The 17239-nt window shown below is 38.5% G+C and overlaps 1 protein-coding gene and 1 long non-coding RNA gene across 16 annotated transcripts in view; one reads left to right on the top strand and one right to left on the bottom strand.

Annotated features, from left to right (window-relative positions):
• Positions 1-17239, bottom strand: part of DEUP1 (deuterosome assembly protein 1) — a 108473-nt gene that overhangs the window by 80230 nt on the left and 11004 nt on the right. For all 15 annotated transcript variants that reach the window (XR_007062456.1, XR_947798.3, XR_007062457.1 and 12 more), the window contains exons 3-4: positions 2699-2870; positions 1198-1293 (exon numbers count right to left, since the gene is read on the bottom strand). Coding sequence is in view for 12 of the 15 variants with exons in the window: in XM_011542631.3 (XP_011540933.1) it covers positions 1198-1293; positions 2699-2870 (268 nt within the window). In the remaining 3 variants the exon portion in view is untranslated. The remainder of the gene's footprint in view (positions 1-1197; positions 1294-2698; positions 2871-17239) is intronic.
• LOC124902734 (uncharacterized) lies at positions 7525-16466 on the top strand. The gene is made up of 2 exons (XR_007062839.1): positions 7525-8598; positions 15151-16466. It is a non-coding gene; the product is annotated as an uncharacterized LOC124902734 (long non-coding RNA).

The following is a 17239-nucleotide window of genomic DNA, read 5'->3' as shown; positions in this document are numbered from 1 at the left end:
AGAACTTTTTAACACGATGAAAACATACCCAAACAGAAATGAAAGATTTGGAAAGCAGTGACTGAACTGGTTAAATACAACTTAGAGATGGCACCTAACTTTCTAGATTTCTGTGTGGTTTTCAAACCTACTACAGATTGTGATCTCTTTATTTATATTGACCAATATGTAATGATTTAATGTTTATGTTGTTGTTTTACAGCCTTATCTTCATAGAAAAATAAAGGTTGAGGTGACTTACATGCTAAATGCTCAGAGTCTAAGCTAGTAAAAACCATATATAATTTTATAACTCAAGCTACCATACAGTGGCAGTTACTTGAACTATAGGCAAAATGTCTAGGTAGACTAAGAACTAGTCTTGTAAAATCATCTGTTAAATGGCATCAAATGTTTCATATTTCAATCTTAATGGCTTAATTACCTCCTAAAACGTATTTAAAAAGGTTCAGTAATTGCTTAGGCTCCTTTAATTAAATTATCATATGTGAAATATTTGTACTCCAAAAAAAGTTGGTCATAAAGTAAAATTTCATAATCAAACCATATTTCCCATTGATTCATTCACTAAGTTAAGCAAAGATATAGCATCTACTACATTTGACATACTCAAATGATTATTACCCTACGTGCTATCTGTGGTAAAGAAGGCATTTTGTGTGCCTTCTTTGTGTGAAGATACAGGGATAAGTGAAAAAGAAATCTGTATCCTTCTCAATACATATGCAGAAGCACTATCATGTAAGAAACAGTCCTACCAGTAACAAGGTAATAAAGACCAGTTTTATTATTTCAATTATCTATTTCATAACAGCAAACTTCCACATTTTAAATTATCACAGAATTGAGAACATCTTTATTAGATAGTAATAACCACAAAAAATAATTGTTTTTTGTTGTTGCTCACAGAATTATTTTTTGTGAGCTAATTATTATTTAATTCATCAACAAGTCTCTTGAGAAATAGAAAGCCATTTGTCTACTACTGTGCTAACAGAGGCACAGAAAATATAGCAAGACAACAATCTAGTAAGAGACAAAATCAATGCATATAAAACAGGGAAAGACATGACCAAGCTTATAATTAAAATACAAGACATTTGTTTATACTGAAAACAGTTTAAAGTTAACACAACTCTACAGGTAAAAAAAAATATATCAAAATGTGTGATATTAAATTATAATAAGTTTTCTTACTTGAGCCTTTAGGCTTTGTAGTTGTCCTTCATAATTCTGAGTCATTGCTAAATTACATTTTTCCAGACTGTCCAATTTCTGTCGAAGTAACCCTACCTGCATGAAGAATAAAATTTAATTTTGCTTTTTCTAAATTTTGCCTGACAAAATCAGAAAATGTGCAAAAGAGAAGAACAATTCAAATAAAATGGCTGTACCAAACCAAGAGTAAATATTTGTACTGCACTTCTTAAAATAGCTATCAATAATTAAATTCACAAAAACCAAACATTGCTAGCACTATTCCACAAGGTACACATTAGGACAGTACGGATGTTTAACAAAAGATCCTTATCATCATCACATTTAAAATTCAGGGTTAGAATTTACTTTGCATTATCCTTTTGGGAGGCTATGTCATCATTCCAAGCAAAACCTCTACCAATATAATTCAGCTTTTTTTTTCTCCATTACCTTCAAGAGGATCTCTGTTTTAGTGGTATTATGAAATAATTGATACATTTTTATAACAACTAATACATTAAAAAGAAAAAGAAAATTGTCTAAGAGCAGTTCCTAAGGATTTGGCTTATATAATTTGTCTCTTTAAAAGGCAGATGAGGCACTTGTTTACATATCTGTGTCAGTATACATATAAAAGCTAAAAGAAGAAGAATGCATATGCCATGTTTTGATGACCTACCTCTACTGTGAAGGAAAACTAGATGCCAATAACTAAGTTACCTATGCCAAACAATAATATAGTTAACTATGCCAAAAAACTAAGTTCCACTGAGAAGTCAATAAAGGTAGAAAAATGGTTGATGAACAAGTTAACTAATGATGTTTTGTTACGGTATATAACTAGCAAACATTTCCTTTAAACATTTCTTTTCCCAAAAGAAAAACTCACAGACACAAAGTCCACATCAAATAAAGCATATGGTTTTCCTGAATGCCTTCGCAGGCCTGAGAGCACTCATATATTCTTCTATGACCACCAGCTTGGCAGTGAGCAGCCTAGAGGGACTAAGGGAACTCCTCTTAAGTGGGTGTCCCAGGTATACACACACCCCTTTACCAAACTCTTTTCTCCTTTGTCCTATTATCAATTCTTGACATCTTACTTCTATTTTTTCCAGCATATTCAAAGAAGCAAATGTTACTGAACTCTGCCTTGTCCACAGTTTTGATGACTACTTCTTTGTTTCTGCAGCAGCAAGAGTACTTACATCTTTACTTGCAAACAATATTTTACATATATATTAAATATTTGCTTACTTTTACAGATGGCATTGACACTATGTATCTGTCTCTATCAGCAAACATCTATGGATTTAGGTTCTGATTTTCACTTATTTGATATAATACATTTAGCCTATAATTTGCTGACAGAATTTCAAGCAATAAATGCTGTTGCTGATGCCTGATAAAAAGTATGTATAATAAAAACATATTCTGATAGAATACTATATGTAACAGTCTGATGAATTAGCAATTTGTTAACATATGTATTCAGTACCTCTTGACCTTTCTGATCCAAACAAGTTTGTGCATTTGCCAATTCTTGATCCCGAAGATCTAATCGTGTCTCCAAAGCCCGCATCTTTCTTTCCCAATCCATTTTCTTGTTGCTTACCATGATGTCAATTTGTTCCATTAATTCCTGAAGCTCAGCCTCACAAGGAGAAGTTCTGGCAATTGTAGGAAAGTAAAATACATTTTAAAGTAGTGAAATGTGAGGGCAAAAAAAATTATTACATTGCTCTGCATAGCTTGAACATTATTTCCTGAAATTGTTCAATTATTTAAATAGGAATAAGTTCAAAAGCTGAAGGTTAATTTTTAAAATTAATAAAGCCAATTTCAGAACTAACAGTGTATATATACTTAATTTTTTAAAATAACATTGTTTAGAGTAGGCTAATTCTAAGGAATATGCTAATTAGGAAAAATTATAAGACTTAGCTTCAGGATCAATGCTCTTCCATATAGGCATACATATACCTATGTCTATCATAACTTCAGAAGGTTTGACAGAGGCAAACTGGGATATCATTCCTGTCTGTTAAGGACAGAAGAGCAAGCCTGGGCTAGGTAGGATGAGATTCAAGGGTACCAACTGGGCTATAGTATGGCTCCTCAAGGAGAGGAATTTGGCATGATATGGCTGGTGTCTGTTTCTAAGGAATTGGATCAGGCAGTGATATAGTTTGGCTGTGTCCCCACCAAAATCTCAACTTGAATTGTATCTCCCAGAATTCCCACATGTTATGGGAGGAAACTAGGGGGAGGTAACTGGATCATGGGGGTCAGTCTTTCCTGTGCTATTCTCATGATAGTGACTAAGTCTCATGAGATCTGATAAGTTTATCAGGGGTTTCCACTTTTGCTTCTTCCTCATTTTCTCTTGCCTCCATCATATAAGAAGTGCTTTTTGGCTCCCCCCATGATTCTGAGGCCTCCCCAGCCATGTGGAACTGTAAGTCCAATTAAACCTGTTTTTCTCCCCAATCTCGGGTATGTCCTTATTAGCAGTGTGAAAACAGACTAATACAGTAAATTGGTACCAGTAGAGTGGGGCGTTGCTGAAAAGATAACCGAAATGTGGAAGCAACTTTGGAACTGGGTAATGGGCAGAGGTTGGAACAGTTTAGAGGGTTCAGAAGAAGAGAGAAAAATGTGGCAAATTTTGGAACCTCCTAGAGACTTGTCAATGGCTTTGACAAAAATGCTGATAGTGATATGAACAATAAGGTCCAGGCTGAGGTGGTCCCAGATGGAGATGAGGAACTTGTTGGGAACTGGAGTAAAGGTGACTCTTGTTATGTTTTATCAAAGAGACTGGAGGCATTTTTCCTCTGACCTAGAGATTTGTGGAACTTTGAACTTGAGAGAGATGATTTAGGGTATCTGGCAGAAGAAATTTCTAAGCAGCAAAGCATTCAAGAGGTGACTTGGGTGCTGTTAAAGGCATTCAGTTTTAAAAGTGAAACAGAGCATAAAAGTTCAGAAAATTTGCTGCCTGATGATGCAGTAGAAAAGAAAAACCCATTTTTTGAGGGGAAATTCAAACCAGCTGCAGAAATTTGCATAAGTAGCAAGGAGCCTAATGTTAATCCCCAAGACCATGGGGAAAATGTCCCCAGGACTTGTCAGAGACCTTCACAGCAGCCCCTCCCATCACAGGCCCAGAGGCCCAGGAGGAAAAAGTGGTTTCATGGGCCAGGCCCAGGGTCCCCATGCCGTGTGCAGCCTAGGGACTTGGTGCCCTGTGTTCCAACTGCTCCAGCCATGGCTAAAAGGGGCCAATGTAGAGCTTGGGCTGTGGCTTCAGAGGATAGAAGCCCCAAGTATTGGCAGCTTTCACATGTTGTTGAACCTTCAGGTGCACAGAAGTCAAGAATTGGGGTTTGGGAACCTCTGCCTAGATTTCAGAAGATATACGGAAATGCCTGGATGCCCATGCAGAAGTTTGCTTCGGGGCGGGGCCCTCACAGAGAACCTCTGCTAGGGCAGGGCAGAAGGAAAATGTGGGGTAGGAACACCCACACAGAGTCCCTACTGGGGCACTGCCTATTGGAGCTGTGAGAAGAGGCCACTGTCCTCCAGACCCCAGAACGGTAGATCCAACAACTTGCACTGTGCACCTGAAAAAGCCACAGACACTCAATGCCAGCCTGTGAAAGCAGCCTGGAGGGAGGCTGTGCCCTGCAAAGCCACAGGGGCAGAGCTCCCCAAGACTATGGGAACCCACCTTTTGCATCAGCATGACCTGGATGTGAGACCTGAAGTCATAGGAGATAATTTTGGAGCTTTAAGATTTAGCTGCCCTGCTGGATTTCAAACATGCATGGGGCCTGTAACCCCTCTGTTTTGGCCAATTTCTCCTGTTTGGAATGGCTGCATTTACCCAATACCTGTACCCCTATTATATCTAGGAAGTAACTAGCTTGCTTTTGATCTTACAGGCTCATAGGTAGAAGGGACTTGCCTTGTCTCAGATGAGACTTGGGACTGTGGATTTTTGGGTTAATGCTGTAATGAGTTAAAACTTTGGGGGACTGTTGGGAAGGCATGATTGGTTTTGAAATGTGAGGATATGAGATTTGGAGGGGCCAGGGTTGGAATGATATGGTTTGCCTGTGTCCCCACCAAAATCTCAACTTGAATTGTATCTCCCAGAATTCCCATGTGTTGTGGAAGAGACCTGGGGTGGGGAGGTAATTGAATCATGGGGGCTAGTCTTTCCCATGCTATTCTCGTGATAGTGAATAAGTCTCACAAGATCTGATGGGTTTATCAGGGGTTTCCACTTTTGCTTCTTCCTCATTTTCTCTTGCCTCCCCCATGTAAGAAGTGCCTTTCACCTCCTGCCATGAATCTGAGGCCTTCCCAGCTATGTAGAACTGTAAGTTCAATTAAACCTCTTTTTCTTCCCAGTCTCAGGTACATCTTTATCAGCAGCATGAAAACAAACTAAGGCAGGCAGGTATGGGGAGATACTGTAAGTCTTTAGACAGTGAGGTTACTAATAGTCATACACATAGTAATATCTTGGGTCCAGGAGGGTTTATTGAGTTTCAAACAAAATGCTTAGTATAACAGCTAGGACTATAGCAACTGTTGTTAAGACAGATTGGTAAGTGCTCTCACTACAGAGTTCTTTTTCAAAGAAGCTGAAGCATTCTCCAGGGAGCTGGTGTAAGTCCAGTCACTCAGACTGGATAAGCAGGTAGTTATTGAGGTCTTACACTTCAGCCTAAGGAACATACAAACGTCCAGATTAGAAAAGCAAGTTATTTCAGCATCCATTTCAATGATGGTAGTGAGGCTTCTAATGTATTTGTGTGGCTGGGAGGAGGACAGGAGGGAGAGGCAGGTGCCACATGACAGCATTTCCTCCATTTAGTTTCACCAAATCAGAATTTTAAAGCTAATTAAGGATCATTTAGCATTTTGATAAAACTCAGGCTCAGAGAGGCCCAAGATCACACAGCTAATTAATGGAAGAGCCAGAACTAGATCCTAGGCAGCTGCTTCCCATTTAATGTGTCTTCCTGTATACCACACAGCAAAAGACACAGTGTTTTGAATAAGAACATGCTTGAAAAATACAGTACAAATTTGCTCCATTGCAATAAGGTTAGAAACAGATATTAAAATCCAAAGAATTTAGAATTTCCAGAATCATTTTCTAAGATATCCAGAGTCAGCCCAAAAAGATGATGTTCCTTTGGTTTATTCAATATGATATTCACCAGTTTTGACATCAGAGAGGTTTGTTTTAAGTACAAAGTGCCATTCTGAAGTCTTCTCCTAGCATTCCTGGAGGAATGTTAGGCCCAGAGGCTTTCAATTTTTACTTAAAACCTAAAATAAATCTGACAAAAGGATGTATACTAATTCCTCTATAAATAACTTGATTGAATTTTAAGATTGAAATTTAATTGGAATTGTAGGGGGAAAGAATAGAACTATGGCCTGGTGTTTCCACACCATTTTTCTTTTTCATGACAACATGTATCACCTTGTACTGTAAATAGATTTTGTCTATTTTTTCCACTCTGAAGAAAAAGAACTATGTCAATGTAAGCTCTAGGAAAAAATAACTATATCAGTCTGGTTCATTACCATCTCACCAGAGCCTAGTATAGTACCACAGCACATAGTAGACGCTCAATAAATCTCTAAAGAATGAATGAGTTCTTTTAATTGCTAACTTTTGGCATGTAAGAATGTACCATGCTAAGGAAGTTAAAATAAGGCCTACAGCAGAGTCTGGACATAATGTAATCTACTCAATCAATATTGTTCAGTGAATGAATGGTTTATTTCCTGGTTATGGTTATGCTATGCAGAAGTTAGAATGTTAGACTCTCAGGATGGAAGAACTCTTACAAGTCAACTAGTCCAACTACCCCAACTACCCATCCAGTGTTTGCATTCCCTCTATGAATACATATATATTTTTTACATATATAAGCATATATAATATATATAAAATGTATATATTATGTGAAAATATAATATATGTTTATTAAAATACATTTTTATATGAAAATAAATTTTCATATAAAAATATATAATTATATATATAATTTTTTTTGAGATGGAGTCTCGCTCTGTTGCCCAGGCTCGAGGGCAGTGGCACAATCTTGGCTCACTACCACCTCCGCCTCCTGGGTTCAAACGATTCTTCGGCCTCAGCCTCCCGAGTAGCTGGGACTACAGGCATGTGCTACCACATCTGGCTAATTTTTTTTTTTCTATTTTTAGTAGAGACGGGGTTTCATCATGTTGGCCAGGCTGGTCTCAAACTTCTGACCTCAGGTGATCCTCCCGCTTCGGCCTCCCAAAGTGCTGGGGTTACAGGTGTGAGCCACCGCACCTTGCCCCTCTACAAATATTTCTTAAGAGAATCATCTATCATACACTACTGATCAGATTCAGCAGGTCTAGGACAGACCCTAAGATGCTGCATCAGTAACAAAAGTATCAAGTGATTCTGAAGCATGCCAAAGTTTGTGACCTGTTTTTCAATATCACTGCAAATAAGTTATCCATCCTAGGTCTGAATTCTTCTCTTAACAGGTAACTACTGTCTGAGATTGTAGCTAGACAGTAATGTGTTTTAGACAGATTTTTTTATATTGAAGAACTTTTCCATCCATTGGTCCTAATCTGATCTCAATGATTCCACTGAGACCATTCAGGACAAATGCCTTTTCAACACAGTAGACTTTAAAGTACTGAATACAGTCATCAGTGTGTCAAATACAGTTTTGAGTGTACTTCCTCTTCTTTTGTCAGTGTTCAATATTAGAGACTGAATATATGGATGGACAATAATCAGACCATATGACAGTAGACTCTGACCCATAATTTCTGCAACAACACAACCAGTCCAGAAAGCCAAGCCACAAAATCTGCAGCAATTGTCCCAAAATGGTCAGGGCTTGATCACTGACTGCCATCTTCCCTAATTTCTGTCCCCACTTCCAACTCAGGACAAACTAGAGAAAGCCAAATATACTCCTCAAAACAATCCCCTAGGGTGCCCCACTTTTAGTTATTCTGTCTCCAGCCTCTACATGCCAACACCCTCCAATGAGGGCACACCTGAACCCTTTTCCCTTTTTTTACCTTAAAGCTTTCCCACTCCTCTGCCTCCCTTTGAGTCTCTGCTAAATGCAAGTGATAGTGGGTGACTCCCTTGGTATAGCAAGCTCTGAATAAATAAATACCTTCAGTTGTTTTCATTTGGGTGGTCTTTATTTATTTCCACAAATATTTTTATTTCCTTCTATTGCTCCTAGAGATTTTTTCTTCACCACTCTATACTCAGTATCCAGTATACTGCCTGAAAAATACTAGATGCTTAATACACATTTGCTGAATGAAAAAAAAAGGATGACTATGGTAAGATTTTCAGACCCTTCTAATTCTAGCTCTTCTTTGAACAAGTTTTTTTTTTTTGTCAATTTCATCCTTGAAACATACCATTTGGAACTTTAAGATAATACCACAGGTATGGTCTAATCAGCTCAGAGGGGGTCTCACAGATCCTTTGGTTTAGGTGCCATATACTTTTATTTAACCAGATGGAGATCACATTAGTTGGATTTGGGAGAGGAAAGGGTAAAGCAGATATCACATTGTTTCAAGGTGGGTTTATTCTTATCTAAAAATCTTATTTCTTTTTTATGCATGCTATGAGTAAGCCACCTTTCACTATCTTGTGCTTGTTTAATTTTTTGAGAGGAGGGGTCCAATGGTAGAGCTGTGTATTTATCCTTATTAAATTTCAGCTTGATAGTTTCAGTCTTTCATTGTAGGTCATCATCACTAGTTCTTTCAGCAAACATTCATTAAGCACTGTGTAAGGTACAGGGAAAACAGAGACAAAAGAGCAATTGCCTGTGAATAGAGAGATTTGCAAGGCAGGCAGGCAGAATAAAAGACTGATGAATATATGCGGGCTTTCAAAAAGGAGGCATACTGAATACAGACTTGCAGAGGGTAGGCTATCACAGAGGTCTTCCTAAATGAGGTAACATCTGAGCTTATGTTTGGGATCCTGTTTCTATCAGAGAATATATTATCTATATCTATATCTCCCAGCTTTGCGTGAGCTGCAGACTTGATAAGCATTACCTGCTGCGTGTGTATGTATATATATACATCATCAGATACATTGCTATAATGATCATATGACTTGTTAGCCAAACCAGGACAATTTTGAAAGTGAAAGGAGCACTAATAATAATTATGCCAGCACACTAGGTATAAACAGTTACTGTTCTGGACAAACTGGGATTCAGGATTAGCTTACCCACTAACAATGGGAAAACAGAGGTGCAGAAACAAGTTTGTGGGGGAAAAAGTCAAATTAGAAATCAACACTAATAAATTCGCTCAAAACCGTACAATTACATAGAAACTGAATAACCTGCTTCTGAATAACTTTTTGGTAAATAATGAAATTAAGGCAGAAGTCAAGAAGTTCTTTGAAACTAATGAGAACAAAGACACAACATGCCATATTCTGTGGGACACAGCTAAGGCAGTGTTAAGAGGAAAATTTTACAGCACTAAATGCCCACATCAAAAAGTTAGATCTCAATTTAACAACTTAACATCACAACTAAAATAACTAGGGAATCAAGAGAAAACCAACCCCAAAGCTAGCAGAAGACAAGAAATAAATAAAATCAGAGCTGAATTGAAGAAGACAGAGACATAAAAAACAATTCAAAAGATCAATGAATCCAGGAGTTGGTTTTTTGAAAAAAATGAATAAAAAAACAGCTAGCTAGACAAAGAAGAAAAGAGAGAAGATCCAAATAAACACAATTAGAAATGACAAAGGGGAAATTACCACTGACTCCACAGAAATACAAATAACCGTCAGAGAATATTATACATACCTCTATGCACATAAACTAGAAAATCTAGGAGAAAAGGATAATTTCTGGACACATACATCCTCCCAAAACTGAGCCAGGAAAAAACTGAATCTCTGGGCCGGGTGCGGTGGCTCATGCCTGTAATCCCGGCGCTTTGGGAGGCTGAGGTGGGCGGGTCACAAGGTCAGGAGATGGAGACCATCCTGGCTAACATGGTGAAACCCTGTCTCTACTAAAAATACAAAAAAATTAGCCAGGCGTGGTGGCACGCGCCTGTAGTCCCAGCTACTCAGGAGGCTGAGGCAGGAGAATGGCGTGAACCTGGGAGGCAGAGCTTGCAGTGAGCTGAGATCACGCCACTTCACTCCAGCCTGGGCATCAAAGCAAGACTCCGCCTAAAAAAACGAAAAAACAAAAAACAAAACCCCCCCAAAAAACTGAATCTCTGAACAGACCAACAATGGGCTCTGAAATTGAATCAATAATAAATAGCCTAACAACCAAAAACAGCCCAGGACCAGAAAGATTCACAGTTGAATTCTACCAGACATACAAAGAGCTGGTACCATTCCTACTGAAACTATTCCAAAAAATTGAGGAGGACAGACTCCTCCCAAACTCATTCTATGAGGCCGGCATCATCCTGACCAAAACCTGGCAGAGATAAAACAAAAAAAGAAAAACCTCAGGCTAATATCCTTGATGAACATAGATGCAAAAATCCTCAACAAAATACTGGCAAATGGAATCCAGCAGCGCATCAAAAACTTATCCACCACGCTCAAGTAGGCTTTGTCCCTGGGATGCAAGGGTGATTCAACAAATGCAAGTCAATAAATGTGATTCACCACATAAACAGAACTAAAGACAAAAACCACATGATTATCTCAGTAGATGCAGAAAAGGCTTTCAGTAAAATTCAGCATCATGTTAAAAACTCTCAATAAACTAGGTTCCAAGGAAACATACATCAAAATAATCAGAGCCAACATCACACTGAATGCGCAAAAGCTGGAAGCATTCCCCTTGAAAACAGACACAAGACAAGGATGCCCTCTCCCACCACTCCTATTCAACATAGTATTGGAAGTCCTGGCCAGGGCAATCAGGCAAGGGAAAGAAATAAAGGGCATCCAAATAGGAAGAGAGGAAGTCAAACTATCCTTGTTTGCAGATGACATGATCCTATATCTAGAAACCCCATAGTCTTGACCCAAAAACTCCTTAAGCTGGTAAACAACTTCAGCAAAGTCTCAGGATACAAAATCATTGTGCAAAAGTCACTAGCATTCCTACACACCAACAACAGTTAAGCTGAGAGCCAAATCAGGAACACAATCCCATTCACAACTGCCACAAAAAGAATAAAATACTTAGGAATACAGCTCACGAGGGAACTGGAAGATCTCTACAATGAGAATTACAAAACACTGCTCAAAGAAACCAGAGATGACACAAACAAATGGAAAAACATTCCATGCTCATGGATAGGAAGAAACAGTATCACTAAAATGGCCATACTGCTCACAACAATTTATAGATTCAATGTTATTCCTGTTAAGCTACCTATGACATTCCTCACGGAACTAGAAAAAAACAGAAAGAAGTTCTTTAAAAATTCGTATGAAAGTCTAGGTGCAGTGGCTCACACCTGTAATCCCAATACTTTGAGAGGCCAAGGTGGGCAGATCACTTGAGTTCAGGAGTTCGAAACCAGCCTGGGCAACATGGTGAAACTCTGTCTTTACCAAAAAAATACAAAAAATTAGCTGGGCATGGTGATGTGCACCTGTAGTCCCAGTTACTGGGGAGGCTGAGGTGGGAGGATCACTTGAGCCTGGAAGGCGGAGGTTGCAGTGAGCCAAGATTGTGCCCTGAATTCAAACTATACTACAGGGCTGCAAGAATTAAAACAGCATGGTATGGGTACAAGAACAGACACATAGACCAATGGAACACAATAGAGAATCCAGAAATAAGGCCACACATCTACAACCATCTGATCTTCAACAAACCTGACAAAAACAAGCAATGGGGAAAAACTCCTTATTCAATAAATGGTGCTGGGAGAACTGGCTAGCCATATGCAGAAGATTGAAACTGGATCCCTTCCTTACACCATATACAAAAATTAACTCAAGCTGTATTAAAGACTTAAATGTAAAACCCCAAACTGTAAAAACCCTGGAAGACAACCTAGGCATCACTATTCTAGACATAGGAATAGGCCAAAATTTCATAACAAAGACACCGAAAGCAATAGCAACAAAAGCAAAAATTAACAAATGGGATCTAATTAATTTAAAAGCTTCTTCACAGCAAAAGAAACTATCAACAGAGGTAAACAGACAACCTACAGAAGGGGAGAAAATATTTGCAAACCACGCATCTGACAAAGGTCTAATATATCCAGCATCTATAAGGAACTTAAATTTACAAGAAAAAAAAGCAAACAACCCCATTTAGAAAATGGTCAAAGAACAGACACTTCTCAAAAGAAGACATACATGCAGCTAACAAACATATGAAAAAAGGCTCAACATTACTGATTGTTAGAGAAATGTCAGTTAACACCATAATGAGATGCCATCTCACACCAGTCAGAATGGGTATTATTAAAAAGTCAAAAAATAACAGAAGCTGGCCAGGTTGTGGAGAAAAAGAAACATTTTATACACTGTTTGTGGGAGTGGAAATTAGTTTGATCATTGTTCAAGACAGTGTGGTGATTCCTCAAAGACCTAAAAACAGAAATACCATTCAACTCAGCAATCCCATTGCTGGGTATATACCAAAGGAATACAAACCGTTCTATCATAAAGACACATGCACATGTTATGTTCACTGCAGCACTATTCACAATAGCAAAGACAACGAATCAACCTAATTGCCCATCAGTGGTAGATGGAGTAAAGAAAATGTGGTTCATATATACCATGAAATACTATGCAGCCATAAAAGGAACAAGATCATGTCCTTTGCAGTAACATGGATGGAGCTGGAGGCCATTATCCTTAGTAGACCAGCAAAGGAACGGAAAACTAAATGTCACATGTTCTCACTTATAAGTGGGAGCTGAATGATGAGAACACATGGATACATAGAAGGGAACAATAGACACTCAGGCCTATCAGAAGATGGAGGATGGGAGGAGGGAAAGCCTCAGGAAAAATAACTAATGGGTCCCAGGCTTAGTATGTGGATGATGAAATAATCTGTAAAACAAACCCCCATGACACAAGTTTACCTAGATAACAAACCTCAACATGCACCTTTGAACTTAAAAAAAAAAAGTTAAAAAAAAAAAGGAAAATTACAGCCTTTGGGGATAATTTTATTACTTCCATTTTCACATTGGCAAGACATGCCATTATGACTTTCAGAAGTGTTTTATCAGCTCCCAAATCAATGGGCATATTTTCTAAAATATTTAAGCCATAAAAATATTTGGACAATTTGAAAAATAAACACAGCATGAGAAAAATTCTACTAAGAAAAATAAGTAATTAAATGCTACATTTAAACAAAGGAGTGAATTCAGTTTGGAATACATGAGATATCTAAAATAGAAATGGGTGTGGAGCGTGGGAGAGGGGTTTAAAAGACAGATATGGATGTCATCATGGAGAAAAAGAAGGGAAGGAGGGAGGAATTAGGAAGAAAGAAGCATAGAGAGGAGAGACAGGAGACTATGTCATGAAACATGGAATAGTCTATGAAAATGAGTTTTCAAAGGCTGATAAGCAGTTAAGTTAGGTCTTAACTTTTTCAAAATCTTTTACTGAAACTCACTCAAAAATATATTACATACTTATTTGCCTTAGTTAATAGGCTATACTAATATAATTTAACTTTTCTTGGTGGCTCACAGACCCTATTCTGCACACCAAATCCTGTATCAGACCCGAGACATACACAAGGTCAAATGGGGAGAACCCCCAGCAGAAGTCCTAGAGCCCACTTTCATAGATACGTCTGTGATGTCAGTCTGCTCTTTAGTCAACTGTCTGTTCTAAAACACTAAAGTGAAAGATGTATTATTTTATGGTTTTTAGGTCATAGTTTCATGAAAACTCTTGTTTAAAATTAATTATTGAGTCATAGACAAAAATAGCTTTTCCTCAAGCACTTTTTTGTCATCCAAAAAATGTTACTGTCATCATTAGTGTTTGCTAACTTAGCAGCATTGAAATGCCTATTTTTATTACATAATTGAGATGGTGGCTCACATTCAATCCATTCATTTCCCTCATTTGCAATAAGCTTAATGTTGGGACATGGATAAGGTATAAACCTCATTATTCTAAAAAAAAGTGCTTAAATGTACTTATAAAGGCCTTGTTCTAAAGGCTTCATCATAATAACAAGGACATATTTATAGAAATAAAGTACAACGCCATAGCCTCCAAGTCCCTACCAATTGTTTTATCAGAATTATAGGCTCATACAAATTTAAAGCTGCATTTTTTTATGTTCTAAAAAGAGCAGAAGATCTGTTAAAATATTTGTATTACAGATAAACTTTTTCTGTCATAACTTCTCACATTCTAAGTAACCCCTTGGTCCACAGATTAGAGGAGAGAAGACAACAGTGAAATATTAGCAGGCACTAATCTCTTTCTTCAGGGCGATCTTTATATTTTTCTAAAAATACAAATAGCTTCACTCTCCTCATAAACTTATGTACCTTAATTCCTATTGCATATTGACATACATAAATGTATGATGCAATTAATAATAAACAAATGTTGATCTACACATGTATTACTGGGTTCTGTAAGCCAGTCTCTAGGACAATTAAGTTCTTTCTTGCTAGAAGATCTATTTGATGAGTGACTGCAGTGTTAGTGTGTTTGAAGGTAGTTATTTTACCCTTTTTCTATTAAACCTGGAGCTGGCTGTTTCATTGGATCCCACAGGGAAGAATTAGGCACACATTGATAAAATCTGTTTTCTAATCTAGACAACGTTTTAATTAATATACTGCTTTTGGAATGTCAGAAATTTCAGTGAACCTCATTCTTATGCCAGCTAGCTCTGATAACTTCTAATTGTGTATCTGCAGCTTAAGCATCTGAGTTGAAGACTTCTATGTCCAACCATCTATTCAACACTGACATGTCCAGAGGATGGCCAGAGGCACCTCAAACTTCACATGTTCAAAACAGAGCACTAGACTCCCTGCACCACAAACCTGCCTCCACTCCAGTCCATTCCATCTCTTTAACTGCTGCCACTGCTACCAGTTGCTCGAGATAAAAACCCCTCATGATCCTAGATTTGTGTTTCCCTCAAATCCCACAACAACAGTAAGTCCTACTGGCACCACCTCCAATATATATCCTAAATTCTGACTGCTTCTCACCATAAACAGTGATAAACCTTGGTCCGAGTCAGCCTTATTGATTCTCTCCTAGTTTCCTACCCAATATCTATCCTTCCTTTGTTCCATACTAACAGAACTTTGATATTATTCAGAGAGGAAATGCAACCAGCTAAAGAAACAACCACATTTCCCAGTCTGCCTTGAAACTAGGCATGGACATGTAACAAAATCTGTCCTATGAAATATAAGTGGAAGGTGCCAAAAGGCTATTTAAAAGAGGGCTGCAGCAGATATTGTGGGTACCCTACACATCCCTGATGGTGACCACTTAAGGACACATGCCTGGTTTCCTGTGGACAAAACTTGCATTCCTTTGCCTCAGTGCCTTCTCTTGCAGCTAGAGTCCTCTTTGCTGCCTCTGTGACAAGTCAGAAGTGACAGAGAATTAACCCTCCCAGGAGCAACTTTGGTCAATGACTGTGCGCTATTGGTGTGTAAATATTCACTTTTTACTTGGCTGGGAGAACTCTTGTGGGGTGTGATTTGTGCTGGGTTCCAGAGCTTCCCCGTCAGGATTTGACTCAGTCACCCACAGTGGTAGCCGGTAACCTGCCTTCCCTGTTTCACTTCCTATTCCCATATGAAGTAGGCTGAAAAATTGTCCCCAAAGATAATCAGGTCCTAACCCTATAAACTGTAAATGTTACTTAATTTGGAAAAAAGATCTTCACATAAGTTAAGAATCTTGATATGGAGAGGTTCACGTAAGTTAAGAATCTTGAGATGGCAGTGGGAGATTTGACACACAGAGAAAAAGAGGAGATGAGGATGAAGCCGAGAAAAACCCGAAGATGCTGGCCTTTAAGATTGGAGTCCACAAGTCAAGGAATGCAGGCAGTCACCAGAAGCTTGGAGAGACAAGGAAAAGATTCTCCCCTAGAGCCTCTAGAGGGGGGCAATCCTGCCAACACTTTGACTTTGGCCCATTGATACTGATTTTGGGCTTCTGGCCTCTAGAACTGTGAGTGAATAAATTTTGGTTTTAAGCTACCAAATTTGTGGCAATTTATTATAATAACCATAGGAAACTAACATACCGCATCTTTAAGAGACAGGGTCTTACTCTGTCATCCGGGCTGGTGTGCAGTAGAGCAGTCATACGCAACTGCAGACTAGAACTCCTGGGCTCTTAACAGTTGCTATAATCCTAGCTGTTATACTAAGCATTTTGTTTGAAACTCAATAGACCCTCCAAGACCCAAGATATTACTATGTATATGACTAATAGTAACCTCACTGTCTAAAGACTTACAGTATCTCCCCATACCTGCCTGTATTAGTTTGTTTTCATGCTGCTTTCCCTGAGACTGGGAAGAAAAAGAAGTTTAATTGAACTTACAGTTCCACATGGCTGGGGAGGCCTCAGAATCATGGCAGGAGGTAAAAGGCACTTCTTACATGACGGAGGCGAGAGAAAATGAGGAAGAAGCTCAAGTGATCCTTCTGCCTCAGCCTCCTGAGTAACTGGGACTACAGGTGTGTGCCACCACACCCAGCTAATTTTTTTTTTTTTTTGTAGAGACAGGGTCTTGTTATGATGCTGAGGCTGTTCTCAAACTCCTGGTGCCAAGCAATCCTCCTGCCTTGGCCTTCCAAAGCATTGGGATTACAGGCGTGAGCCACCATGCCCAGCCTACACCATATCTTCATATCCCAAATAAACAATGTATATCCAAATTCTTATCTCAGAGCTGGCTTCTCTAGGAACCCAAAATAAGAATGCTGCATACACTGTTTTGTTTTTACCCACTGCCTTCTCTCTACTTCC

The sequence above is a fragment of the Homo sapiens genome, chromosome 11 (assembly GCF_000001405.40).
Source record: "Homo sapiens chromosome 11, GRCh38.p14 Primary Assembly".
NCBI lineage: Eukaryota > Metazoa > Chordata > Mammalia > Primates > Hominidae > Homo > Homo sapiens.
The sequence above is the reverse complement of the archived record's forward strand: the minus strand, read 5'-3'. Positions and strand labels throughout refer to the sequence as shown.